The 27,788-nt window shown below is 33.9% G+C and overlaps 1 protein-coding gene across 5 annotated transcripts in view; it reads right to left on the reverse strand.

The window, feature by feature from the left end:
- ASCC3 (activating signal cointegrator 1 complex subunit 3) overlaps positions 1 to 27,788 on the reverse strand; it is a 373,136-nt gene that overhangs the window by 111,706 nt on the left and 233,642 nt on the right. For all 5 annotated transcript variants that reach the window (NM_006828.4, XM_011535394.4, XM_047418108.1 and 2 more), the window contains 10 exons: positions 27,327 to 27,552; positions 26,716 to 26,870; positions 24,132 to 24,230; positions 22,682 to 22,850; positions 18,702 to 18,922; positions 11,229 to 11,314; positions 9,116 to 9,282; positions 7,943 to 8,088; positions 7,691 to 7,811; positions 5,293 to 5,435 (listed from right to left, as the gene is read on the reverse strand). In NM_006828.4, the coding sequence (NP_006819.2) occupies positions 5,293 to 5,435; positions 7,691 to 7,811; positions 7,943 to 8,088; positions 9,116 to 9,282; positions 11,229 to 11,314; positions 18,702 to 18,922; positions 22,682 to 22,850; positions 24,132 to 24,230; positions 26,716 to 26,870; positions 27,327 to 27,552 (1,533 nt within the window). The remainder of the gene's footprint in view (positions 1 to 5,292; positions 5,436 to 7,690; positions 7,812 to 7,942; positions 8,089 to 9,115; positions 9,283 to 11,228; positions 11,315 to 18,701; positions 18,923 to 22,681; positions 22,851 to 24,131; positions 24,231 to 26,715; positions 26,871 to 27,326; positions 27,553 to 27,788) is intronic.

The following is a 27,788-nucleotide window of genomic DNA, read 5'->3' on the forward strand; positions in this document are numbered from 1 at the left end:
AGTGCTAAATGGAGTTGACGAAATTTTTACTTGTCTTTCCTTGGAGAGGGATGAGTGGATTTGGGTTAAATGAAGGAGACCTTGCATTGCTAGAAAAAAAATTTTTTAATTAAATGTAGGTATAGGAAAAGTAGTGTATGTATGAGTTTGAGGAGTGAAAGGGCCATAGTGGACCTTTGTTGTTTATGGGCAGCCAGTATCTGAATGTCACCTCCTATGAGAGAAGCCAAAGAAGGGAGATTCCTTTTTTCTGCTGCATACCAGAGATGGAAACTCAGGCATTCAACTCTTTCTATCTTGACTTGAAGCTTGAGAGAATGATGCAAAGACCTAATAATAGCTTGAGGTTAGTGGCAGAAGTAGCAAAATCCAGGTCACATGGTAGCATATACCCATAAACTTTTGAAACCACTGCAATAAGGATTCCTAATGACAATATGGAAAGGTATTTCCTTTGGGGTTTCCTGATGCAGTATAACTTTACATCAATGATACACTTGAAGGTGTCTTTCTGCTTCCTAATACTTTGAAACTATACTGGATTAAGAAGATAGATGAATAACTCTTTTTGCCTTTGCCAATAAATTAATGAGAACACATATACTCTTCTTAGTCATATTCTCTCTCTAGCCTCTTGTGATCTACCCTAGCTTTCTTTATTCTCCATGCCCCCAGCCCAAATATCTATAGACAGTTCTTGACTTAAGGTCACTGAACAGCAGAATAATTTGAATGCTGTTCTATGCCAGACACACTGCTTCATAGTTGCCGGGATAACTGCTGCTGTGCTTCCTCTGAATGCTCAAGTTGTCAACACTAGAGTCTTAACCAATTACCCATGTCCTGCCACAGAACATCAATTTAACACTACACAAGGAGCAGCAATGGAAGCAACCGCTAAGCTTCCAGCCCAGAATATTACGGAAAGTAACCCACACAAAGATTAAAATGTTAAAAAGTTTTCCTATTAATTATTTAGGGCTAATTATTTAAGGGTTCAACAACTAAAACACCTGCTTTATAGTATGCTTCAGTATAATCACACTGAATTTACATAGTAATCAGCTGTAAACCCTCTGAAATTTTCATTTTAAAGGTGATTGCTTTTAGAATCAGTACTAAAACAAAGCATAGTTTGCCTTATTCTTCAGATGGGCGCGGTGAAACAAAATGGAATCAACCCAAATGCCCATCAGTGATAGACTGGATAAAGAAAATGTGGTACATATATACCATGGAATACTATGCAGCCATGAAAAGAAATGAGATCATGTCCTTTGCAGGGGCATGGATGGAGCTGGAAGCTGTTATCCTCAGCAAACTAATGCAGGAACAGAAAACCAAATGGAAATGACATAATATTTCTAGCTGTCCTATTTTATCACACATTTAAATAAATAGTACATTTATAACAAATATTTATGTTAATAAATACAATAATAAAACTAACAGATTTAACTTTCAGAGTCTACAAGGAACTTAAACAAATTTACATGAAAAAAAGAACCCCACTAAAAAGTGGGCAAAGGATATGAACAGATACTTCTCAAAAGAAGACATTAATGTGGTCAACAAACATATGAAAAAAGGCTCAGCATCACTGATCATTAGAGAAATGCAAAGCAAAACCATAGTGAGGTACCATCTCACATCAGTCAGAATGGCAATTATTAAAAAGTCCAGAAACAATAGATGCAGGCAAGGTTGTGGAGAAAAAGTAACACTTTTACACTGTTGGTGAGAATGTAAATTAGTTCAACCATTGTGGAAGACCGTGTGGCAATTCCTCAAGGATCTAGAGGCAGAAATATCATCTGACCCAGAAATCCCATTACTGGGCATATACCCAAAGGAATAGAAATCGTTCTATTATAAAGATACGTGCACACGTATGTTCACTGTAGCACTATTCACAATAGCAAAGACATGGAATCAACCCAAATGCCCATCAGTGATAGACTGGATAAAGAAAATGTGGTACATATATACCATGGAATACTATGCAGCCATGAAAAGAAATGAGATCATGTCCTTTGCAGGGGCATGGATGGAGCTGGAAGCTGTTATCCTCAGCAAACTAATGCAGGAACAGAAAACCAAACACCCCATGTTCTCACTTATAAGTGGGAGCTGAAAAATGAGAACACATGGACATACGGGGGGAACTACACTGGGGCCTGTTGAGGATGGTGGGAGGGAGAATATCAGGAAGAACAGCTAATGGATGCTGGGCTTAATACCTAGGTGATGGATTGATCTGTGCAGCAAACCACCATGACACATGTTCACCTATTGATATGGTTAGGCTTTGTGACCCTAACCCAAATCTCATCGTTAACTGTAATCCCCATAATCCCCACATGTTACGGGAGAGACCAGGTGGAGGTAATTGAATCATGGGGGCCGTTTCCCCGATGCTGTTGTCATGATAGAGAGAGTTCTCACAAGATCTGATCGTTTTATACCGGGCTCTTCCCCTTTTGCTCAGCACTTCCACTACCTGCCACCTTGTGAGGTAGGGGTCTTGCTTCCCCTTCCCCTTCCACCATGATGGTAAGTTTCCTGAAACCTCCCCAGCCATGCTGAACTGTGAGTCAATTAAACCTCTTTCCTTTATAAATTACCCAGTCTTGGGTAGTTCTTTATAGCAGTATGAAAACAGACTAATACACCTATGTAACAAACCTGCACATCCTGTTTATATACCCCAGAACTTAAAATAAAAGTTGAAGAAAAAAATATAAAAATAATACAATTATAACAAATATTTGTTAATAAATACAATAATAAATTTATAATAAAATAAATATTCTAGGTATCCTATTTTAGCAGTGAAAAATCTACAACAGCAGAAACCACGAGAGTATATTCTATAGTTTCTACCTAGCCTTGTGGATAAAGTTTTCTGCCGATAAAAAAAATATGAAACAGAGAAGGAATTCTACACAAAGTCTGAGCTAACTACAATTCTTTAGGTCTCATATATTAAAATTAACAACAACAACAAAAAGAAACACAGTGGAAGTGTACACTGTGATAATGCACAATGTCTATATACTTTAAGCAAACATCCCAAAGTGTGTTTGGTAGGTTTGTACATTGTATCTTGACTTCAAAGAAAAGTGTCCATTTGGAAGACTTTTAGGATAACATATAAAATAAAATTAAGCCTAGAGAGATACCACACATAAACTGAGTCATCAATATTTTGTATATCTATTTTTCATCATTTGCCTCCTAAGTTATGATACTACCTTAGACACAACAGGATGATTATTCAGATATCAATTAAATAATACAGGATAAAAAAATCTTTTATCAACATTACTTTGAACATAAATTATTTTCTTAAATATCTGGTATACCCATACAAGTAACATTAAGTAAATAAAGATAAAATTTAAAAGATAAAATGATCGCTATTACTCTACTTCAAGCAGTCATTTGATAGCCTGCATATTAAGCTAATTTATGAGTCTGTTAGTGAATAAGGTCATCTATAGAACTAAGCAAAAACATTCTGAAATATCAGTTAACTATTACACAATAATGTAATACATACAGTACTATCTAACAGTCCTACTAACTCTAAATGAGTCATGAGAAGTAGAAGGGGAGAAATATGCAAACTGTTAATCCTGGGCACCAGTGGATTTGGAACATTGTTTTTTACTGATGCCGAACAGCACTGCTCTTCTTTAGCCTGCATGAGATTACAAAGTGGGAACACTGAAGAGGGTTGGTGGAGAGATCACAATGCAACAATTATCTACTGATTTCATCTGTTTTCATTGTAACTCAATTTAGGAAAATATTTTTCAAAACTGGAAAAGTGTAAGAAAGAACAATCACTATATATTAAATCTATAGAGAGGAGGAGGAATATCTATATTTAGATGTAGTATAAAGAATCATAAAGGATCATACTAACAAACTGGATTACATAAAATGCAAAGTCTTCTATTTGTAAAAAGACACCATGATATTGTTCTCACTCACAGGTGGGAATTGAACAATGAGAACACATGGACACAGGAAGGGGAACATCACATACCAGGGCCTGTTGTGGGGTGGGAGGAGGGGGGAGGGATAGCATTTGGAGATATACCTAATGTTAAATGACGAGTTACTGGGTGCAGCACACCAACATGGCACATGTATACATATGTAACTAACCTGCACGTTGTACACATGTACCCTAAAACTTAAAGTATAATAATAAAAAAAAAGACACCATGAAAAAAAGACAAGCAATAAACTAGCAAAGTTACCTAATACAGCAGGTGAAAGATTAATATGTATATATGTATAGAAATACACATATATGAAGAAAAGTAATCTATAAAATTTTATATATGTATATATTTTTCTAAATTTGGCAAAGCTCTCACACAAATCTACAAAATAAATGCTGTCCTGGAATAGATGAAAGACCAAAAGAAATGAAGAGACAACAAATAAAAAAGAAGACAACTAGTAAATATATGAAAAAAAAATGTTCAACCAATCAAAAATGAAGGCATACATTAAGGTAAGATAATATTTTATCTATAATATATCAATAAGTTGCAACAAATGAGGATGTAGTAAAACTGTTACTCTCATATATTTCTGATAATTCATACATCAGTGGTGATGACACCAATAAGTACAGTTCTTTTGGAAAGTAATTAGCAGTGTACCTGAAAAGCTGTAAAAATATTCACATTATTTGACCCACTGATTTTCTTTTTAGAACTCTATACTGAGAAAATAATTTTAAACAGAGAAAAATCTACAATAATAAGGATGCATGATTATTAAATTACAGGAGAAAACCACTATGAAATAGTTGCATAATGGAATATAACTGCATAGACACAAAAATTCTAATTTAAAATTTTACTGGTGGTTATTACTTAGGGAAAGGATAATAACAGGTTTTAAATTTTTATATATTAGTGCTTCCTAAAATTAAAAAAAGATTATTATATATTTTTTAAAACCCAAATTTTGCAAAATTGATTTTAACTTCAGTAAGGGCAGTGAATACTTAAAGAATATGAAAATGATTGAATGTTACAATATACACAGGTGATAACGTTAAAGGAAAAAATTATAAATATGAATATACAAAATAAATATTAAGTGGGACTATAGTAGAACAAACTATAACAGAATATTAATAGTGTGGTAAGGTGGCGGTATTATGAATTTCTTCTTTCCCTATAATACAATTACATATGTAATGATCATTCTAATATAATACAACCTGAAACGTGTAAGTAGTAGAAGATAAAATATGTTGCTTACCTCTCTTTCATCCATGTTTAACCACTGCTTTGGATCTTCTTCAGTAGCCAGGAAGGCGATCAATTCCAAAGCAGTAAGACGAGTTTGACGTCTTGATGAGACAAATATCAAAACAGGTTTGGCTGGAGAATGGCTTCTAATTGCTGTTGAAAAGTTGTGGGAAATAAAATGGAAAGATACTTAACCCCAGAATATGAATTTCATTAGGATATCAAATGGATACATGAAAACTAATGATGTAAACAATTTAGGCATGAAATGTGGCATTATTGCAGGTACTACATGGATCTGGCAGCATATTAGACAGATAATAGGAAAAGAAAGGTTGATGGCCCTACCTAGAGAGTATATTGCCTAGGAGAGAAAAGATTTAATTATGCTGGGTCCAAGTTCTATTCTGAGTTGCCAAGGAAGGAGAAACTTAAAGACTGAGACTCTCCATTAAGAGCTATACATGGACACTAAATCTTAGATTGAGTTTTCTGTACTAAGTTGTGTTTCTCAGCTATTTGTGTTTGCCTAAGCAGTGATATTACAGAGTTAACTGGTCCTGGGGTCTGGTGAGAAAATCAAGTCCTGTCAAGTGACGGAAAATGTCTAGAAAGACCACAAAAAGTTTCTTTTATTTTTGTTATCAGTGATAGAAAAATTAGGAGAAGTTTGTACCAGTAAACAGGTTAAGAGATAAATCAGAAGAAAGTTTTCCCTCCATTTTTTTTTAAAAGCATATGTGTGAGAAAGGCAGACAAGATAACGTAGAAGAGGGCTGAAGAGAATACTATGCCTGAATGAGTATCTGAGTAATGGGACATGGTAGTCAACACAAAGAAGATGAGATGACTCTGGTCAACACAAACCAGAGTAACAAGACTGAAGTAAATTTTGTAAATCAAATCTTTAAAAATAATTAAAGAGCCACATAAATCACTTGGCTTATCTTGAAATGAGGTTTTTTGTTTGTTTGTTTGTTTGTTTTTTGCTTTACATAGGCTCCAAAAAGCTGATAAGATGCCACGAGTAGAATATATATTTAGGTCTACACAACTCTCTTAAAACAGTCAGAGATATTTAAAAATTTTATATAAAAAGTTCAACCTCTTTGTAATTTCTTGTTTGAAATGTGAGCTGCAGAATTTCTTTTTATGGGCTGGGAAACAAGGTTTATAATGGAAATGTTGACATGACCTTGACTTTATTTACATCCTAACTATGAGAAATAAAGCTATCACACAATCATATTTCTAAACTCAAAGAAATATAGTAATCACTACAGGTATAATAAATAGTACATAAGTATAGCTGCTGTGCTGATACCATTTCTATGGAAGTGTAAGTACTTTAGTTATTTACTATTGATTTATATAAGACAAAATACTTCCTTTCCATCAATGGTATGCAGTCATTCCATATAGATATATGCAATTTCAACAATATATATTATGAAAAATAAACTCATTTATCTTATTTCTCACCCTTTTATTGTTTATCAGAATGTTACAGAATGTAAATGATAAAGCTTTGATAAATCATATTAGAGATACACCATTTAAAATACACATATTAGTACAATATTGATATCATTTGGACACATAAATATAAATGGATCTCTTGTCTTTCTTTAAACCTCAACATCTAATGGATTTTTGCTGCTGAAAGAACAGGTGTGGCTGAACAGCTCACGGCAGATTTATTGTTCATTAGTGATTTTGTACAATGCTTCTGTGGAGGTGTAAATAATCTGAACTGCCAAGATTGGTCTCTAGTTCACAATCAATACTTTGCTTCTGTCATAAGGCTAATTACAGCAGCTAAAAAGTCACCTCACAACTGTCACCACACAATCAACAGCAGCTCACATTTGAGAATTTATTTTTGAGGTTATTTTTAATTGATATAATAAATATTCTTTATGCAGCCCAAATAAAACATGTTTCAATAAAATAGGAGTGCTATTCTTAAATCTTTCCTGTTTGCCTAATTTGTTAGAAGAGGAAAAACTAAAAACAGAAGCACTGTACTAAAGTACTGAAATTTCTAAGTTTTATGATTTCTCATAAAAATGATTATGAGATGTTTTTGACCTGTAGCTTCCATTTCTCATCTGTCCAAGCTACTATCATAAAAACACTTTGATTAATATTAAGAAAACTCTGATAACTTTTTTTAATTACATACTTTTATTCAACTACAAAGTCATTACCATTTGTGAAATCGCTCCAATCTTCACTAGGTAATTTAACATATATTTGTATTCCTTAACAGTTGAGACAAACAGTTTTAGATATACGTAGAAGCTGGACCAGTATCATCCTTTCAAAGAAACCAACACCAATTAGAAGATATTTGATAGCTACCATAAACAATGGTTACTATTTTATTCCAAGAATCTGAAGCTTACCCTGAAATGCAGGCTTGTTCATACTAGCCATACGAGGACAGTAATGTTGACCTGGAAAGCCTTGAATGTGAACTTCCAGTGGAACTGGGCGTACTGATGGTCGGAAGTTAAACAAGCCCATCTAGAGTAAATATGAGAGAGAAACCATTTTCAATTTTTATATTGAATTTTATAAGGTTATAATATCTCTTAAAAGGAATCATCAAAGTAACACTACTAAATAAATGCATAATTTATCAATCTTCTACATACCTGCTTAATATTGAGCCAATCAGCAAGGTCTCTGGCATTAGCTAATGCAGTAGATAGTCCAACTATTCTAACAGGCTTTTCTGTGTGTGATGAGATAAAATTTGTTCGAGATACAATGACCTCTAGAACAGGGCCTCTTTCCTCCCCTAGAAAATAGGGAAAAATCAATGTTAATCATTTAACAAGCCTGTGTTGGTCATTGCAGCAACCACAAAAGGAAGAGTTTGTAGCTTCCTCAAAAAACAAAAACAAAAAAAAAAACAAAAAAAAAGCTAAAGCTAGAACTACCAAAGGATTCTGCAATCCTACTCCCAGTGCATGATGTCACTTAGATGCTGAATTAAAAAAAACTGACCTCATGGAAGTAGAGTAGAAACGTGGTTACCAGAGTCTAGGGGCATGGGTTGGAGTCACAAGAGAAGGGAATAGAGAGTTGGTGGTCAAAGGGTACAATGTTTCAGTTGGACAGGAGAAATAAGTTTGTCAGATCAATTGTACAGCAGTGTGACAACAGTTAATAAAAATATATCATATATTTCAAAATTGCTAAATTGCAAAATTGCTAATTGCATGTTTAACTGTAATCTCCAATGTTGAAGGTGGGGCCTGGTAGGAGGTGATAGGATCATGGGGGCTGTTTCTCCTAAATGGCTTAGCACCATCCTCTTGGTGCTATTCTCATGACAGTGAGTGAATTCTCATGAGACCTAGTTGTTTAAAAGTGTGTAGCACCTCGCCCACCACCTTGCTCTCTTGTTCCTGCTCTTGCCATGTAAGAAGCTCTCTTCTGCTTTGCCTTCAGTCATGATTGAAAGCTTCCTGAGGCCTCCCCAGAAGCAGGAGCCACTACATTTACTGTACAAGCTGTAGAATCTTGAGCCAATTAAACCTCTTTTTAAAAATAAATTACCCAGTCTCAGGTATTTCTTTATGGCAATGTGAGCACAGATTAATACACTAAGAGAAAATTTTTTATGTTTCACCTCAATTTATATGTAAGGTGATAGATGTTAATTAGCTTGATTTAATAATTCCACATTATATACATACATCAAAAAATCACATTGTGCCCTAGAAATATATATAAATATTACATGCAAATTAAAAATACTAATAATTAATATTTTACAAAGTTAAAGTTTGTAAACTGGCTTTAGATACAGTGGTACCTACCAAGCAGATGGATCTCATCTATGATGAGAATAGTGACTTGCTGAACATAGTTCCTATTTTGCCAGCTTCTGCTGACTCCATCCCACTTCTCTGGCGTAGTGACGATAAGGTCAGCCTTGGCAATGGATTTCATATCAGGAGTCACATCCCCTGTTAGTTCAATAACTCTGGAGGGAAATATAACAATGATCCCAGAAACTTTTCAGGTAACAAATGACCTTGGAAATGCAAAAACCTATCTCTTTTAAAATAAAATTTTATAAGGCTTAAAATTACTTTATCTACCTTTGATTTTTGAAATTTTCCAAGTTGAGTCCAAAATGTACATTTCTTAAGAACTCTAAGAAAATTTCTTGCCATAAAATGAAGGTCATATAAATTCCAATCACTGACATATCTAACTTTTATACAGATATACAAGGATATCAAACTTTGCTTTAATTATGTTTATAGAAACTCCATCCTAGGTGATTTTATAAAGTTGAACTCATACTTCCTTGTCCCTATGTTGGAATAAAATTTTTTTTAATGAAGGAAAGTGTTACTTTATGGAGACAAAAAAAGGCATTCATTAAGAATATTTAGGATTATGTGTAAATTTAATTAAAATTATGTGTAATTTAGATTGTGTGCAAGCTCATTTCTTTCCTTAGATTGGAATTTTCTATAGATTTTATAGCCAAAATGAAATGTATTAGGATGAAAACAAGATAAGCCAGAGCAAATATGTACCAACTCATTATAAGCAGATCACAGTCATATAGTGAGAGAGAAGGAAAAGAAAAACCTATGTAGATCTAGAGGAATTACCTAAGAATTCCTAATTACATAGGATTAGCTCTGGGCTAACATCAAATTTTAAGTAATTACTAAAATAATTTCTTTTCTTTCTTTTTTTTTTGAGACAGAGTCTCATTTTGTCACCAAGGCTAGAGTGTAGTGGCTTGATCTCAGCTCACTGCAACCTCCACCTCCCGGGTTCAGGTGATTCTCCTGTCTCCAAGTAGCTGGGATTACAGGCATGCACCACCACCTCCAGCTCCTTTTTTATTTTTAGTAGAGATGGGGTTTCACTATGTCGGCCAGGCTGGTCTCCAACTCCTTTTCTCAGGTGATCACCCGCCTCAGCCTCCCAAAGTGCCAAGGTTACAGGCATGAGCCACCACGCCCAGCCTAATATAATTTCTAATCTGTGTTAAGACTTGGAAAATAAGAAAAAGGGCAAAATTTGTTCCTCTAAGCATAATGTTCACAAAGTATTTACCTATTCTTGTTTATTTTAAAGATTTACATTTTATATGTTATTTTGAATATGGACTATATTCACATGGTTCAAAGAATACAGGGAATGGTCTCCATAACATCCCTATCCTATAGACAGCTAGTTCTCATTCTGAAAAGAACCACATGTTCATATTCTTTATCATTTTGAAAAAACATGAGCTAGGATACTTATATTTTTTTTTTGTTTTTTTTTTTTACATTATCTTTGGAGATCATTCTTTCCGTATAAAAAAATTCATATAGTTTTTTTTACAGAGTAATACAATATTTTACATTGTGTGAATGTACTATAATTTACTTACTGATGCTCTACTGGAAATTCGTTTCTCTGTAATCTTTTGCTATTTAAAATAATACTGCAATGAATAACCTTGTAGTATATTAAATTATTAATGAAAAAAACCCCACATCATGTTTTTCAAAGAACTTCTGCTTTTTTACAAATAATTTACATGCAAAATGCCTTCTAAGCAGTTTCTGGAAGCTACTCTGCAAAATACGAAAAAAATAGAGAGGCAGAACTTATTTTTGTTTTGTTTTAGAGTGAAAATATTTTGAAAAAGTTATCCTGCCAAATAAAAGTACTCACATTAAGTAATTTAGGAGATTTCATTTTCAATCTTAAAACAATGGGAATATTGATATCATTTTAATAGTAGGTACATATCTTTAAATAAATGACTATGAAAATCAATGTAAAACCATTCAGCAGTTAAATAAAAGACTATGAAAATCACTGTAAAACCATTCAACAGTTTTATTCAACTCTTATTTCCTGGTCCTTTTAGTCAATTCAAAGCGTATCTTTTGAGTAAAAGTAAGAACTTACTTTTTACCAAGTTTTTCTTCTATTCTAACTTTCCAATCATCCATTCTTTCACGTACTAGGGCTTTTAGGGGTGCAATATATACCGCCTAAAAAGGGGAGAATAGCCAAAAATACTCTTATGAAAATAGTGATAGCATTTTGAAATAAAAGTAAACTCCAAAAAATTTGTCAAAATATGACAGTGTGGTTTGAAAATGTATCTTTTAATTCTGAATACTCAAATTTTTAAATCAACGGGAAAAAGTCATTAACTCAAACTACATTTACCCAAAATAAGACAGAAATGTAACATATCACAAACATTCTATTCATAAAAAATATTAACATAGATGAATTTAAATTACTTTTAAAAAAGCATCAGAGGTATTTTCCTCAGGCATTTTACTATGAAATTATATTCTACATAATAAAAACAAAACAAATTATGAGATAATACACTATAAGAGAAAATTAGGGTTCTGATAAAAAATTTTTTCTATTATTATGATTAATATTTATTTGAGTTGTATGTAACTCATGAATAAATGTACTGATGTTGAAGTTTTGAAGAGAAATAAACTATTGTTTAAATTTTAATGCAGATTTTATGAAGATGCTAGTAGTATAATTCAGGTTTCAAAAAAATAAATAAAAGCTGGTCTATAGTAATCCAAACCTATACAAAATGTATTCCCTTTATGTTTCTAATTTAGAGTAGAGCTCTACTGTTATATTAACATGTCTCTATAGATCAATAACCACATATTAGAGAGACTGAAAAGTAGGAAAACTTAGGGTTAAGTAGGGAAGAAAAGCCACTAATTAGGAAACACTACAAAAGGATGCTAAGACATTCCTGAAATCATAAATGATGAAGAAACTAGCCCATAATTCCAATCACAACATCTCTGTAAATGTTTCTATTTTAGTGTGATGTACTCACAAAATTAAGAACAAGAAAACTCTAAATACTACATAAAAAAACTGTTAGAATTAATAAACAAATTCAATACGCTTGAAGGACACAAAGTCAACATATATAAACCAGTAGAATATATACTGTTAGCAAACTATCTAAAAAAAAAAAAAAAAAAAAGAAGACAGTCCCACTTACAATAGCACCAGAAAGAATAAAGTACTTAGGAATAAAGTTAACTAAAGAGGTAAAAAATCTGTACAATGAAAACTATAAAACATTGAAGAGAAACTGAAGAAAAGACAAATAAATGAGAAGATATCCCATGATCATGGACTGGAATAATTAATATTGTTGAAATGGTCATACAACCCAAAGCAATCTTCAGTTTAAATGCAATCCTTATCAGAATTCTAATGGCATTTTTCACAGAAATAGAAAAAAAAAATCCTAGAATTCACAAGGAAGCACAGAGACCTTGAATAGCCAAAGCAATTTTAAGAAAGAAAACCAGTCAGACGCATCACATTTCCTGGTTTCAAATTATATTACAAAGCTACAGTAATCATAACAGTGTGGAAGTATGGACCTGACATAAAAAGAGGCACACAGACCAGTGGAACAGAAAAGAGCCCAGAAATCAACCCACACAAACAAGGTCAACTAATCTTCAACAAGGGCCTAAAGCATACATACAATAAGCAAAAGATATTCTCTTCTATGAATGATGTTGGGAAGACTGTATATTCACATGTAAAAGAACTACTGCCATACACCATATACAAAAATTAACTCACAATGGATTAAATAATTAAATATAAGATCTAAAACTACAAAATTCTTAGAAGAAAACATAAGGAAAAAGCTCCTCGATGTTGGTCTTGGCGATGATTTTTGGGACATGGCATCAAAAGCAAAAATAAACAAATAGGTGTACAACAAACTAAAAAGCTTCTACATGGAAAATAAATAAATAAATAAAATCAACAGAGAGACAATGTGAAATGAAAGAAATGACAAAACGAAAGAAAATATTTGCAAACCATATACACTAGTTCTGTCTTAATGCCTTCCCTTTCCACGCTTCCAATTACTTGTAGTCAATTGTGGTCCAAAAATGTTAAATGAAAAATTCTAGAAATAATTCATAAGCTTTAAATTATGTACCCTTCTAAGTAGCATGATGGAATCTCACACTGTCCCACTCAATTCAGCCTGGAACATGAATCATCCCTTTGTCCAGAGTATTCAGGCTGTAGCCACTCCCCAAACACTAGTCACTTAGTAACTGTCTTGTTTACTAGAAAGACTGTGGCAGTATCACGGTGCTTTTGTACAAGTAGCCCTTACATTACTTAGTAATGGCCCCAAAGCACAAGAGTAGTGATACTGGCAACTCGGATTTGCCAAGGAGAAGACAAAGTGTTTCAAGTGAAAAGATGAAAGTTCTTGACTTAATAAAAGAAAAAAAAATCATATGCCGAGACTGCTAAGATCTGTGGTAAGAACAAACATTCTATCTGTGAAATCATAAGAAGGAAATCATAAGAAATTTGTGCCAGGCTGGGTGCGGTTGCTCAGGCCTGTAATCCCAGCACTTTGGGAGGCGAAGGTGGGCGGATCACCTAAGGTCAGGAGTTTCAGACCAGCCTGATCAACATGGAGAAACCCCGTCACTACTAAAAAAAAAAAAATACAAAAATTAGCCAGGCGTGGTGGCTCATGCCTGTAATCCCAGCTACTCGGGAGACTGAGGCAGAAGAATCGCTTGAATCCGGGAGATGGAGGTTGCGGTAAGCCGAGTTTGCGCCATTGCACTCCAGCAGCCTGGGCAACGAGAGCAAAACTCCGTCTCAAAAAAAAAAAAGAAAAAAGAAATTTGTGCCAGTTTTGATGTTGAACCTTAAGCTGCAAAAATTATGGCCACAGTACACGATAAGTGCTTGGTTAAGATGGAAAAGGTATTAAATTTGTGGGTGGAAAACATGAATAAAATGTGTTTTTTAAATTTTAGTACACTTTTCTTAAGTACATATTTATAAAGAACATAGTATTGCACTACTATACCATTTCTTGTTTTACTTTTTATTTGTTTTTACTTAACACATAATAATTGCACATATTTATGGGATACATAGTGATGTTTTGATACATATAATGTATAGTGATCAGATCAGGGTAATTAGCATATCCATCATCTCAAACATTTATCATTTCTTTGTGTTGGGAACCTTCAATATCCTTCTTCTAGCTATGTGAAACCACATTATATATTATTGTTAACTACAGTCCTTCTACAGTCGTATACAACACTAGAATTTATTCTTTCTATTCGGCTGTAATTTTGCATCCTTTAACCATCCTCTCCTTATCTCTCCCTTCCCCCTACCCAAATGGGTTCAGTACCATCAGGTTGCAGGCATCCATCGGGGTTTTGGAATGTATCACCTGAGGATAAGCGGGGACTAAATATCTAATAAAAAGTTATAATCCAAAATAGAAACTTACACAACTCAATAGCAGATAAACCCAAATTATTCAATTAAAAATGGGCAAAATATCTGAATACATATTTTTTTCCAAAAGAAAACACACAAATGGCCATTGGATACATGAAAAGGTGCTCAATATAACATCATCAAGGAAATGCAAATTAAAATCACAATAAGATATCAATTTACACCTGTTAAAATGGCTATTACCAAAAGACAAAAGACAGCCGGGCATGTGGCACAAACCTGTAGTCCCAGCTACTCAGGAGGCTGAGGCAGGAGGATTGCTTGAGCCCAGAAGTTCAAGGCCAGTCTGGGCAACACAGCGAGACCCCATCTCCTCAAAAAACAAAAAAAAAAAAAAAAAAGAAAAGAAAAAAGAAAAAAATAACACACATGTAGGTGAGGATGTGGAGAAAAGGTAACTGTTACTGTACATGATTGGTGGTAATGTAAACTGTACAGCCATTATGGAAGACAATCTGGAATTTCTTTAAAAATTAAGCATAGAACTATCCAGCAATCCCACTTTTGGGTATATATCCAAAGGAAATGAGATCAGTATCTTAAAGAGATATCTGCACTCCCATGTTCATTGCAGCTTTACTTTGAATAGCCCAAATATGGAAACAATCTAAGTGCCTCAAGATAGATAAAGAAATTGTAATATATATATGTGTGTGTGTATATATATATATGTGATATATATGTACACACACACACACAATGAAATATTATTCAGCTTTAAAGAAGAATGAAATCAGCCATTTTCAACAATATAGATGAACCCAAGGGACATTATGTTAAGTGAAATACGCCAGACATAGAAAGAAAAATACTGCATAACTTCACTTACACATGGAATTTTTAAAAGTTGGATTCATAGAAGGAAAGAGTAGGATATTGGTTACCAGCGGTGAGGATGGGGGAATGAGGAGATACTGGTCAACAGGTATAAAGTTTCATTTATGATGAATGAATAAGTACTAGACACCTAATATACAGCATGGTGATTACAGTTAATAGCACTGCATTATATACTTGAAATTTGCTAAGAGAATAGATTTTATGTGTTCTCATCACAAAAAAGATAACTATTTGAAGTGATAGGTATGTTAATTAGCTTGACTGTAGTAATCACTTGACAATGTATATCAAAACATCACATTGTATACCTTAAATATACATAATTTTTATTAAAAATAATATATACTAGGAAAGAGTTAAAAAATTATGCTTCAAGAAAGCTTTAAAGCAATACTTACTTGACTTGTAATGTATTTGATATTAAATAATATCATGGCCATTTGTAGAAGTCATATAAAAGCTACTCTATATTTAATATGTATAATCAAACTATATTAAAGCACTAGCATTTTCTTCATACAGAAAAGATTTGATTATGAATTACTTTGTATTGTTTAACTTTGCCTATGAAGTGGGTTTCTCACAGTGAAATTATCTATGAATTGTAGAAATCTTACAATGAGGAAAGGATTTGTGTGTCACTACATACATTAGAAATTCAACTGGAGGACTACAAAGTTTAAGGTAAATTTTCTTGCTGCAAATTATCCTAATATGGGCATAGCTCATTTTACTGCACTTTGCGGATATTGTTTTTTTACAAATTGGAGGTTTGTGGCAACCCCACATCGAGCAATTCTATCAAAAGCAATTCTATTGATTTTTCCAACAGTATGTGTTCACTTCATGCCTCTGTTACGTTTTGGTAATTCTACCAATATTTCTAACTTTTTCTGTATTATTATATCGGTTATGGTGATCTGTGGTCGGTGATCTTTTATGTTATCATTGTAATTGTTTTGTAGTGTCATGAACTACACCATATAAGATGACAAACTTAATTGATAATTGTGTGTGTTCTAACTTCTCCACTGACCAGCCATTCCCCCATCTCTTTCCTTCTCCTCAGGCCTCCTTCTTCCCTAAGACACAACAATATTGAAATTAGGTCAATTAATAACCCTACAATAGCCTCTAAATGTTCGAGTGAAAGGAAGAGTTGCATGTCTCTCACTTTAAATCAAAAGCTAGAAATGATTAAGCTTAGGGAGGAAGGCATGTCGAAAGCTGAGATAGGCCAAAAAGCTAGGCCTCTTAATACCAAGGAGTTAGCCAAGTTTTGAATGCAAAGGACAAGTTCTTGAAGGAAATGAAAAGTGCTACTTCATTGAACACATGAATGATAAGAAAGTGAAAGTTTTATTCCCGATACGGAGAAAGTCCGAGTGGTGTAGACAGAAGATCAAATCAACCACGATATTTCCATAACCTAAAGCCTACTCTAGAGCAAGCCCCAAATTCTCTTCAATTCTGTGAAGGCTGAGAGTGGTGAGGACACTCCAGAAGAAAAGTTTGAAGCTTGTTTCACATGGTTTAAAGAATTCACCTCTATGAAGTGCCAGGTGAAGCAGAAAGTGCTGATGTAGAAGCTGCAGCGAGTTATCTGGAAAATATAGCAAAGATAATTGATGAAGGTGGCTACAATAAACAACAGAGTTTTAATGTATACAAAATAGCCTAATATTGGAGGAGGATGTCATCAAGGACTTTCACAGGTAGAGAGGAGAAGTCAATGCCTGACTTCAAAGCTTCAAAGGAGGAGCTAACTTTCTTGTTAGGGACTAATGCAACTGGTGACTTGAAGTTGAAGCCAATGCTCATTTACCATTCTGAAAACTCTAGGGTCCTTAAGAATTATGCTAAATCACCTCTGCCTGTGCTCTATAAATGGAACAACAAAGCCTGGATGACAGCATATCTACTAAACAGCATGGTTTATTGAATATTTTAAGCCCACTGTTGAGACCTATTGCTTAGAAAAAAAGATTCCTTTCAAAATGTGACGCTCATTGACAATACATCTAATCACACTCCAAAGCTTTGATGGACATGTACAAAGAGATGAATGTTGTTTTCATGCCTGCTAACATAACATCTATTCTGTACTCCAGGGATATAGGGGTAATTTTGGCTTTCCTATCCTTTTACTTAAGAAATATGTTTCATAAGACCGTAGATAGTGATTCCTCTGATGGACCTGGGCAGAGTAAGTTGGAAATCTTCTGGAAAGAATTCACCATTCTAGATGCCATTAAGAACATTCATGATTCTTGGAAGGAGGTCAAAATATCAACATTAACAGGAGTTAGGAAGAAGTTGATTCCACCCTTCACGGACGACTGAGGGGTTCAAGACCTCAATAGGGAAAGGCACTGCAGATGTGGTGGAAACAGCAAGAGAACTAGAATTAGAAGTGGAGCCTGATGATATAACTGAATTGTTACAATCTCATGATTAAATGAACAGATGAGGAGTTGCTTCTCATGGATGAGCAAAGAAAAGGTGTTTCTTGCGATAGAATCTACTGACAAAGATACTGTGACCATTGCTGAAATGACAAAAAGGATTTAGAATATTACATAAACTTAGTTCAGAAAGCAGTGGCAGGGTTTGAGAGGGTTGACTCATTTTGAAAGACGTTCTATCGTGGGTAAAATGCTATCAGGCGGCATCACATGCTACAGAAAAATTTTTCATGAAAGGAAGAGTCAATCAATGTGGCAAACTTCATTGTCTTATTTTAAGAAATGACCACGGCTACTCCAACCTTCAGTAGCCACAACCATGATCAGTCAGCAGCCATCAACATTGAGGCAAAACCCTTCACTAGCAAAAAGATTAAGACTCACTATAAGGCTGAGATGATTGATAATATTTTTTAGTAATAAAGTATTTTCAAATTTAGCTATGTATATTTTTAGGCATAATGCTATTACACACTAATAGGCTATGGTATAGTATAAACAGAATTTTTATATGCACTAGGAATCCAAAAAATTTGTATGACTTGCTTTATTGTGACATTCACTATATTGTGGTAGTATATAACCAAACTCATGATATCTTCACGGTATATCTGTACTGATCTGGTCCCCTGGGAAATTCACTGAGAGTGACAAATCTATTCATTAGACCCTGCCAATATATTTAGAACTGTCTAGTTTAGAGATTATGAACTGTCTTTTCTAATTAAATGTAAGTATGATTCTTTCAACAGACCTTTGAAGTAGGGTATTTGTTGAAGACTCTGAAAATGGCTAATTCAGCTGCAACAGTCTTTCCCGATCCAGTAGGTGCTCCAAGTAGGACATTACAATCCGTGTGATACAATGTATGAAATATTTGTGTCTGTACAGGGTTAAAGTGGCTGAAGTTGTACAGGGCTTCATATGCTTTACATCCCAAAGCTGTGATTGGTAAAGGCTGAAGATCCAGTAATTCTGAAAAGACCCAACAGGATGGCTATACGACAATTGAAAAACACGCATAATACTGAATACTGTATTATAAATAATAGATTATAGTAATCCTTAGTTCCTTAGACAAGGAGAAAAAACACAAACTCTTATATACCCATTACAGATCTGGCATTTCAACAAATATGTCACGCAAGTAACCACATTTACCATATTGACATACTGGATGCTTTTCTGGGGGAGTGCCCTATAAGCCAACTATAATGCCATATCCTTCTTTTTCCAATCAGGAAAGTCATTTGAATAACAAGTATATGCATGTTATAGAACAAAACCTAAATCTGTCTCAAGTGGTAAAAAAATTAAAACCATTTGCAGACTTCAACACTGAAATGATTACTAACAACGAATTACTTTTGTTCTGTTAGACACTGACCAAGCAAGAGCAGTTGAGTTAACTATTGTTGTCAATGGAAAGTAAAATGAATTTAGGGTAATTCCAGGTAGAAAATTGGGTGGGAGTTTTAAAGCAAAGCATGACTGAGTAAACAAAACCTGCCCTGAGAAAACCTAGAAAGAAACTAGATTTAGTTGTTTCTTATTATGTGGATGGGAGGCCTAGGGAATTAGAAACAAAATAATTTAGAGAAACAGTTATACACCCTTGAATTCAACAGACCTTATATTTTCCATAATCCAGAAAGGTATCAGTTAGAAAACCAGAAGGCCACTTTACTCTCAAGATTATTTCATGAAAGATAAATCCAGTCATTTGAAATTTGAACAAGAAGAAATAATCCATAAGGTAACATAGTATTCTGTACCTTGAGTTAGATGTTCATGGTACTGTTTCAAAATGAAAGTATGGCAAATTTTCTTCTTAAAAAATGTCTTTAAAAGTCAAAAAATTAATTTAAAAAATTATCCTTTCCCCACTGCTCTATTCAGTTAATTACATAGGTAACTGAGGGCTAACGACATACTTTCTACACCAGACTGTAGGTTTCTTAAATTTTCTGAAGCACTGAAAATTGAGGCCGGGAGCGGTGGCTCAAGCCTGTAATCCTAGCACTTTGGGAGGCCGAAGCGGATGGATCACCTGAGGTCAGGAGTTCGAGAACAGCCTGGCCAACATGGCAAAACCCCATCTCTACTAAAAATACAAAAATTAACTGGGCGTGGTGGTGGGCGCCTGTAATCCCAGCTACTCGGGAGGCTGAGGCAGGAGAATCGCTTGAACCCGGCGAGTGGTGGTTGCAGTGAGCCCAGATCATCCCACTTCACTTCAGCCTGGGTGAAAGAGTGAAACTCTGTCTCACAAATAAAATAAAATGAATAAAAAATAATAGAGAAGGAAGGAGGGGAGGCATTGCAAGTTAATGCTTGTAATGCTAATCAAAGCCGAGATATGTTCTTAAAAAGACTAAAAAATAAATAAATAAATAAACTGCATATTGCATATTTACTGATGATGTTAAATTACAGTGCTTTACATTAGTGAAAGATGAAGGTTTTTCTTGGCTCATTTGGGCTCAATGATAATGACTATATATTCAAAGAGACCCTGGAATCATTGAGGTTACTTTGTATATGTCTAATATCAACTGAGATGTTATGGTGGTACATTTATTGTTTTTAAAATTGTAGTCAGAACTCAGCTAATTATATAAATAGGGTGATACATTCTTGGTCATTTGGCAGACAAAAGATAAAATGAACATTGAAATAGAATGTTAACGCAAGTTAAGATCAAGTGCTATACTCAAAGATTAATGATGTTTGAAGCATGTATTTTAAATTAAAGCACCAAACATTTTTTATATATTTTATTCTGAGATTCTAAATATTACATGTAGCACACTTGATGAAAGAAGACTGGAAAGATTCCCTTCAATGAGTAGATCACTAGATACTACAATCTCATTATTTTTCTATGTTGACAAGCCTTTTAGTTCTGTTCTGCCAAGATATCAAAGTGGAATTAAGCCAAAGTATAAAGTATCTCTCTTTAAGATAAGCTAAGATAATGAATAGGGTACACATTTGACAAAAATGGCAAAGTTTAAAGTCACATTAAGACCTCTTTCAATTCCCAAAGGACTGCCAAATAATGAGTTCATTAAAAGTAGTGAGGACTATATTTTTATTCTGAAAATGACAAAGGGTTTCTCTTTGGAAGAACCATATGAGAAAAAATATGGACTTTCATTTTTCTATAAATTAAGGCCCTCTTAAAATCAATTCTGAAAAAGAAGAAATAAACTTATTATACTAGTTAATTAACAGATTAGTTTAGGATTTTTTGAAATAGAGTATTTCATAGGGCACTTAAAAGTATCATTGTAAACATTTATTCCTGAAAAATCTGCTTCTATATTAAGTCAAAATAAAAAGGTATTTGTTCACGTCACCAAAATTTAAAATGGATTTTTGCAAGGTATGACAGTGAAAAACACTATTGTATGATGTTGAAGATTACCACGTACCCCTTTATAATGTTAGGGCAGAGGGATAAAACTAATATAAAGTGTTCCTATTTCCCCACATCCTCTCCAGCACCTGTTGTTTCCTGACTTTTTAATGATCGCCATTCTAACTGGTGTGAGATGGTATCTCACTGTGGTTTTGATTGGCATTTCTCTGATGGCCAGTGATGATGCACATTTTTTCATGTGTCTGTTGGCTGCATAAATGTCTTCTTTTGAGAAGTGTCTGTTCATATCCTTTGCCCACTTGTTGATGGGGTTTTTTATTTTACACTGTTGGTGGGACTGTAAACTAGTTCAACCATTGTGGAAGTCAGTGTGGCGATTCCTCAGGGATCTAGAACTAGAAATACCATTTGACCCAGCCATCCCATTACTGGGTATATACACAAAGGATTATAAATCATGCTGCTATAAGGACACATGCACATGTATGTTTACTGCAGCACTATTCACAATAGCAAAGACTTGGAACCAACCCAAATGTCCAACGATGACAGACTGCATTAAGAAAATGTGGCACATATACACCATGGAATACTATGCAGCCATAGAAAGGATGAGTGCATGTCCTTTGTAGGAACATGGATGAAGCTGGAAACCATCATTCTCAGTAAACTATCGCAAGGACAAAAAACCAAACACCACGTGTTCTCACTCATAGGTGGGAATTCAACAATGAGAACACATGGACACAGGAAGGGAAACATCACACACCGCGGCCTGTTGCGGAGTGGGGGGAGGGGGGAGGGATAGCATTAGGTGATATACCTAATGTTAAATGACGAGTTAATAGGTGCAGCACGCCAACATGGCACATGTACACATATGTAACAAACCTGCACATTGTGCACATGTACCCTAAAAGTTAAAGTATTAAAAAAAAAAAAAACTAATATAAAGGGTAGATGTTATTTGCAGGACACAAACTCACTTGAGGTATGTGGAAATCCATTCCATAGTGATACCATAATATGATTCCTTAATATTAGCTTTTTTGTTTTTGGTGTAGAAACACAAAAGATGGGGGGAAATTCCCCATAACTCACTGGTATGTTAGTTAATTTAACATACTAGAAATAAGTTTAAGTAAACTGGAATAAACGCAAGGGAGAAAATAAAAGTTTTACAGAGAGAACAGATTAAATGATGAATGACAAATGAAATAAAAAGGGAGTTATAGAGAAGTTATAATGATTACAAGTAAAACTTTATTACGGTGTAGACATTTTTCAACATTAATTAAAACAACCATTTTGGAAAAATCAATGATTCAAATCAGCATTCACCATGTTACCTGTATGAGGAGGATGTCTCTCTGGTAGAATTAGATGTTGAAAGTTGATAATACATACTGCCTCAGCACCCAACCATCTATCAGACACTGCTCGGATGTAGTATTGGGAAGGCAAAGGCTCAAAAATAGGGATTGTAAATACCAGTAGTTGGGCTTCTTTACTAATGACCTAATATGAAATACAGTCAAAAATAAATATGGATATTCTAATAGCATAAAGGCCTTATTAGTCTATTGTTAAGATAACGGTATCTCTACAAGATATACTAAAGACAAAGTATCTTGAATTTGTAAATAGCTGAGATATTCGGAAACTTTAGAAAATTGTGCATGGTGCCCTTCTGAGGATACCTGATAGAAGGTAAAATTTTATGGCTAATTTATATTATTTACATATGCATATAATCATGTATTAACAAGTTACCAATTTGACTACCTGAATTTCCCAAACATCATTCATTCAATTACATAACTTCATGATTTTTACCTTACCGAATTACCATATTGTTTACTTAATATTTTTTGTTAAGTTCTATCAGTACCTAAAATGGAATACCGCAATCACTTGGTACAAATAGAAGGTAACCAAGCAGACAAAAGCAATGAATACAAAACGCTGCTATGAAATTCTACTGTTGCCTACCCAAGACTCTTACCTGAAGCTTGCTTTATCTTTGATAAAAACAGAAATTACGAATGAAGCATCAGTTAAAGAAATACCATCAAATTGAGTCTTTGTCTTGTGATTTATAAAGAAATTTAGAAGAAATGCTCTTTTAATCCAATAGTATTCAGTATTTTGTGCATGTGACCCTTAAGATTATTATTGATCCTACCTATTTTACATATTCTACACCTCTGGAACCCAGGTCTTAAACCATGGTAAAGATTATCCAGTCATGCATTGCTTAATGACAGGAATGGTTCTGAAAAATGTGTCATTACGTAATTTTGTCTTAAGAACATCATAGTGTACGTAGACAAGCCAGATGGTATAGCCTCCTAAATATCTAGGTTACATGGCAAAGCCTACTGCTCTTATACAGCATGTTACCATACAGCATGTTATTGTATTGAATATTTTAGGCAATTATAACACAATGGTACTTACCTATCTACACATATTTAAACCTAGAAAAAGTAGGTGAAAATACAGTATTATAATCTTATGGGACCACTATTGTACTGTTGTTGTGTATGTGGTCCCTTGTTCACTGAAATGTCACTATGTGGGGCATTACTGGTAAGTGAATTTCTTAAACCATGATCACATTGAATATACCAATACTATAACATTTAATCACTGTATTCTTTTAAAACTAATAGGAAACTAAAACATAAAATAAAGTTTTAATTGTACTATAAAATTACAGAGAAATAAAAGCAGAAACTGTTAGTATAATTTTTTTTACAATAGCAAATAAGGATATATTCACATATATACACTTACTTGTTTTTTTAGAGCTAGAAAATACTCTGAATGATAAATATGATCATTTGTAGGATCTTCTACCCAAATCCACCAAGGTTCTCCTACTGTCCCATGTACCTAGAAGAAAAATAGCATCCTGCTACTATGCATATCATAACTCAAATAAGGGATAGCATCCAATCTTCTCACTCTAGAAGCTTTATTGATATATCATTTATATTACAAAGTTTACTCATTTAAACATTTCAAGTATACAGTTAAATGATTTTAATATATTTCCAAAGTTGTACAACCATCACCATAATCTAATTTTAGAACATTTTCACCACCTCAAAAAGAAACCTTGTACCCATTAGTAGTCACTACCTTTTCCTTACAGATTTGCCTAATCTGTAAATTTCAATTAAATAAAATCATATAATATGCAGTCTTTTGTGACTGGAGTTTTTAATTTACCATGATGGTTTCACAGTTCATCTATGTTTTAGCATGCATCAATGCTTTCATTCCTTTTTATTGTCTAATAATATCCCATTGGATAGATATACTGTATTTTGCTTTATCCATTTCAATGTCTTTCTCTCTCTCTTACTCTCTCTGTCTCGCTCTTCCTTGCAGAACCCAGTCTTGTTCAGCAAGCATCTCTCCCTCATGTGACTCAAGAAAAAGTGACCACATCCCCTGGGATAATTTTGATTGGCATAAGTCAATCAGCTCATGGGATTCCCCTCCCAACTGCTGTGGTAAGGCAGAGGCACATGACAAATACTGGCCCAATTAGACTGAAGAAAAGGTCTATGGTCCATGTTCTGGGCTGGAGAAGTGGGGATGTGTTTCCCATGCTCTGTTTAATGCAAACAAAAAATCCTGAAAACATTTGAGAAGTACCCAAAAGTGTCAGCAGAGCAAATGGGTGAAAAGTTCCTGGTCTTTGAATGACATCTTTAAACAGAAGACTCAACCATCCTTAGGGCCTATTCTACCTGTGGACCTTTCATTATGAAAGATAATATACTTTCGTCCTTAACTCAGCTTGAGGCAAGTCAAGTTTTCCATTCTTGAAGCCAACAGCATTGTGCCTGACAGTGGTAACTATTAAAATCATTAAGTACTCTGTCTTACTAATGAATTAAATCAAACTGCAGATTTATTACAGATATTGGTAGGAGACAGTGTAAGAAATACAAAACTTCCACTTATTTCAAAAATAGTCTATTAAAATTTCAAATATGAGTTTATGGGTAACTGTAAATTTATATTTATGTGAAACTTTATATCTATAGAAATATTAAATATAATTTTGTATCATCTAGTCCCAATGAAAATTCTGTAAAAAACATTATTATTATTATAATAATAATGTTTATAGCTGAGGAAACTAAAGGAATTAAAGGTTTAGACACTTTTAAGACCAACGTAGAATTGGGTTAAAACCATGGTTGGGTAATTTTAGAGCATACTGTTAAAATTCATTGACATTAAAGATGTATAAACATCAGGTAATGCAGAAGATACTTATTTAATTAGAACTTTACAATAACGTGTGAAATAGGCACTGCTATACTATAAATAGTGACTTCCTTGTTTTCCCTGATTGGCTTCTTGAATGTAAGAACTGAGCCTCACTTGCCTTTGTACCTACAATCTCTAACATAGTAACTGGTACAAAAATAGATCTTTAAAAAATGTTGATTGAATAAAAAGAGAATCTGGTGTGTATCTTTATATACATAATAATATCTAAGCTATCAAAGGAGAAGAAGGAATTAAAACAGAAACAAAAACATGATGGGAATCAAGGATGGACATTTTGAAAAACTGTATAGTGTTAAATATTCAGAGAAGTAAAGAAAATAACTGAGAAAAATCTATTTATTATGGCAACCCATCAGTCTTTGGAGATCATGGAGAAAGTAGTCTCAGCAGCAAAGAAACAGGTGATTGGGGGAAAATATAGAATACTTTTCTACAAGTCTAATGTTTCAAAAAAGGAAAGAATATTAATTTAAGAGACATCAAGATGAAAAATGGCTCTTTTTACCATGAAAAATCTTGAATTTTTTGGAAGGCTAAAATGACAAAGTAGACATGGCAAAAATGAAGATAACATAGAGAAAATAAAAGAAGATAGAACTAATATAGCAAAATCTCTATGGAGTTAAATCCACTAAACTGTTGTTCATTGTTGAAATTTAGGTTTCCTAAATGTTTTGAAGGAATCTCACTCGTTGACATATTACTAATATACCATGGTTTTCTTGAGGATGAGAATAAATATTGCTATAATTTTTTACTATTATTATTATTATTTTTTTGAGACAGAGTCTCGCTCTGTCGCCCAGGCTGGAGTGCAGTGGCACAGTCTTGGCTCACTGCAAGCTCAGGCCTCCCGGGTTCATGCCATTCTCCTGCCTCAGCCTCCCGAGTAGCTGGGACTACAGGTGCCCACCACCATGCCCGGCTAATTGCTATAATTTTTAAAATAAATCCTCAATATATATTCTTTTTAGAGGATTTTCTATATGCCTTAGGAACAGATGTAGTTGAGTCTGTAGTACAGATATTTTTGTTTAACACAGATATAGCCGTTTTCCACTTCTACCTGATCATTCCAAGTGAAATCAGCATAGATGCTGAGTGTCACTCGGAGGACAGTCCTTGTGATAGGCTGAATGGATGCTTCCATCATAACAGAAGGAATCTGATGAACACATTGTTTGACCTTCAGTCCAATATTCACATGATGTAAAATGTGACCTGCAAGAAAAATATCACATAGAAGAAATGTGTCCAGGCAGAAAAAAGCAATATAATCTGACTTGTAAATGGGATTTCAGAGAAGGTGATTTTATTGCTTGTTTTATGATTTGCTATGTAGAATAGCTGACATTCTTGACCTGGCATGTTTGAATATTTTGTAATAGTTAACTTGAATTAGCAATTCACAGTTTTTAAAGTCAGTATCAAGGTTTCTTTAGCTATTAATAGGGTGCTTAAAATTACTGAGACTTGATAGTGTTTAAACTACTATAAACAGACTCACTTGAATATAAAGAGATTTTCGCTTGATTTTAGATAAATGAAAAAGATTTATAAATACGGTAAAATTTTTATTTTGATTAATGTGGAAATTCACAATACCTTCTTTTACACCCAGCAACATATTTTATTTGCACAAAACAATACATTCAAACATATTTGCTTCCTTCTTACCTATTTCATCTTTCCTCATGTCTTTCAGCTTATCCACAGTAAGCTTTTTTTCTTCTAATCTTGTTAGGATGTGTGGTGGTAGGATTGAAAATTGTCTCAAAGGGCTAGCCCAACCCCAAAGCCTCTTGTCAATGACTTTACTAAGATTCAGGAGCCTGTAGGTCATGGTAGGCCAACGTTTCCTCAGAGCAATTTCAAAAAGAGCACGGACAATTCTAGCTGCATTCTAAAAAATTATAGGAGGAGATTGGTGGTTATACCCAATGTGCTTTTAAATTTGTCAATAAATCTATTATTCAAACTCAGTCTGAAAAGAAGTGCAAGTCAAGCTGCATCCTTGAATTGTGGGGCAATATCTTTTCTCATATAATCCTAATTATCTTATTATTTCTACATAAGAATAATCCTATCCTTTATATGTGGATGCTACTTGCTTACTCTCAGAGGGGAAGCCTTATTTCC

The sequence above is a fragment of the Homo sapiens genome, chromosome 6, assembly GCF_000001405.40.
Source record: "Homo sapiens chromosome 6, GRCh38.p14 Primary Assembly".
Classification (NCBI taxonomy): Eukaryota; Metazoa; Chordata; class Mammalia; order Primates; family Hominidae; genus Homo; species Homo sapiens.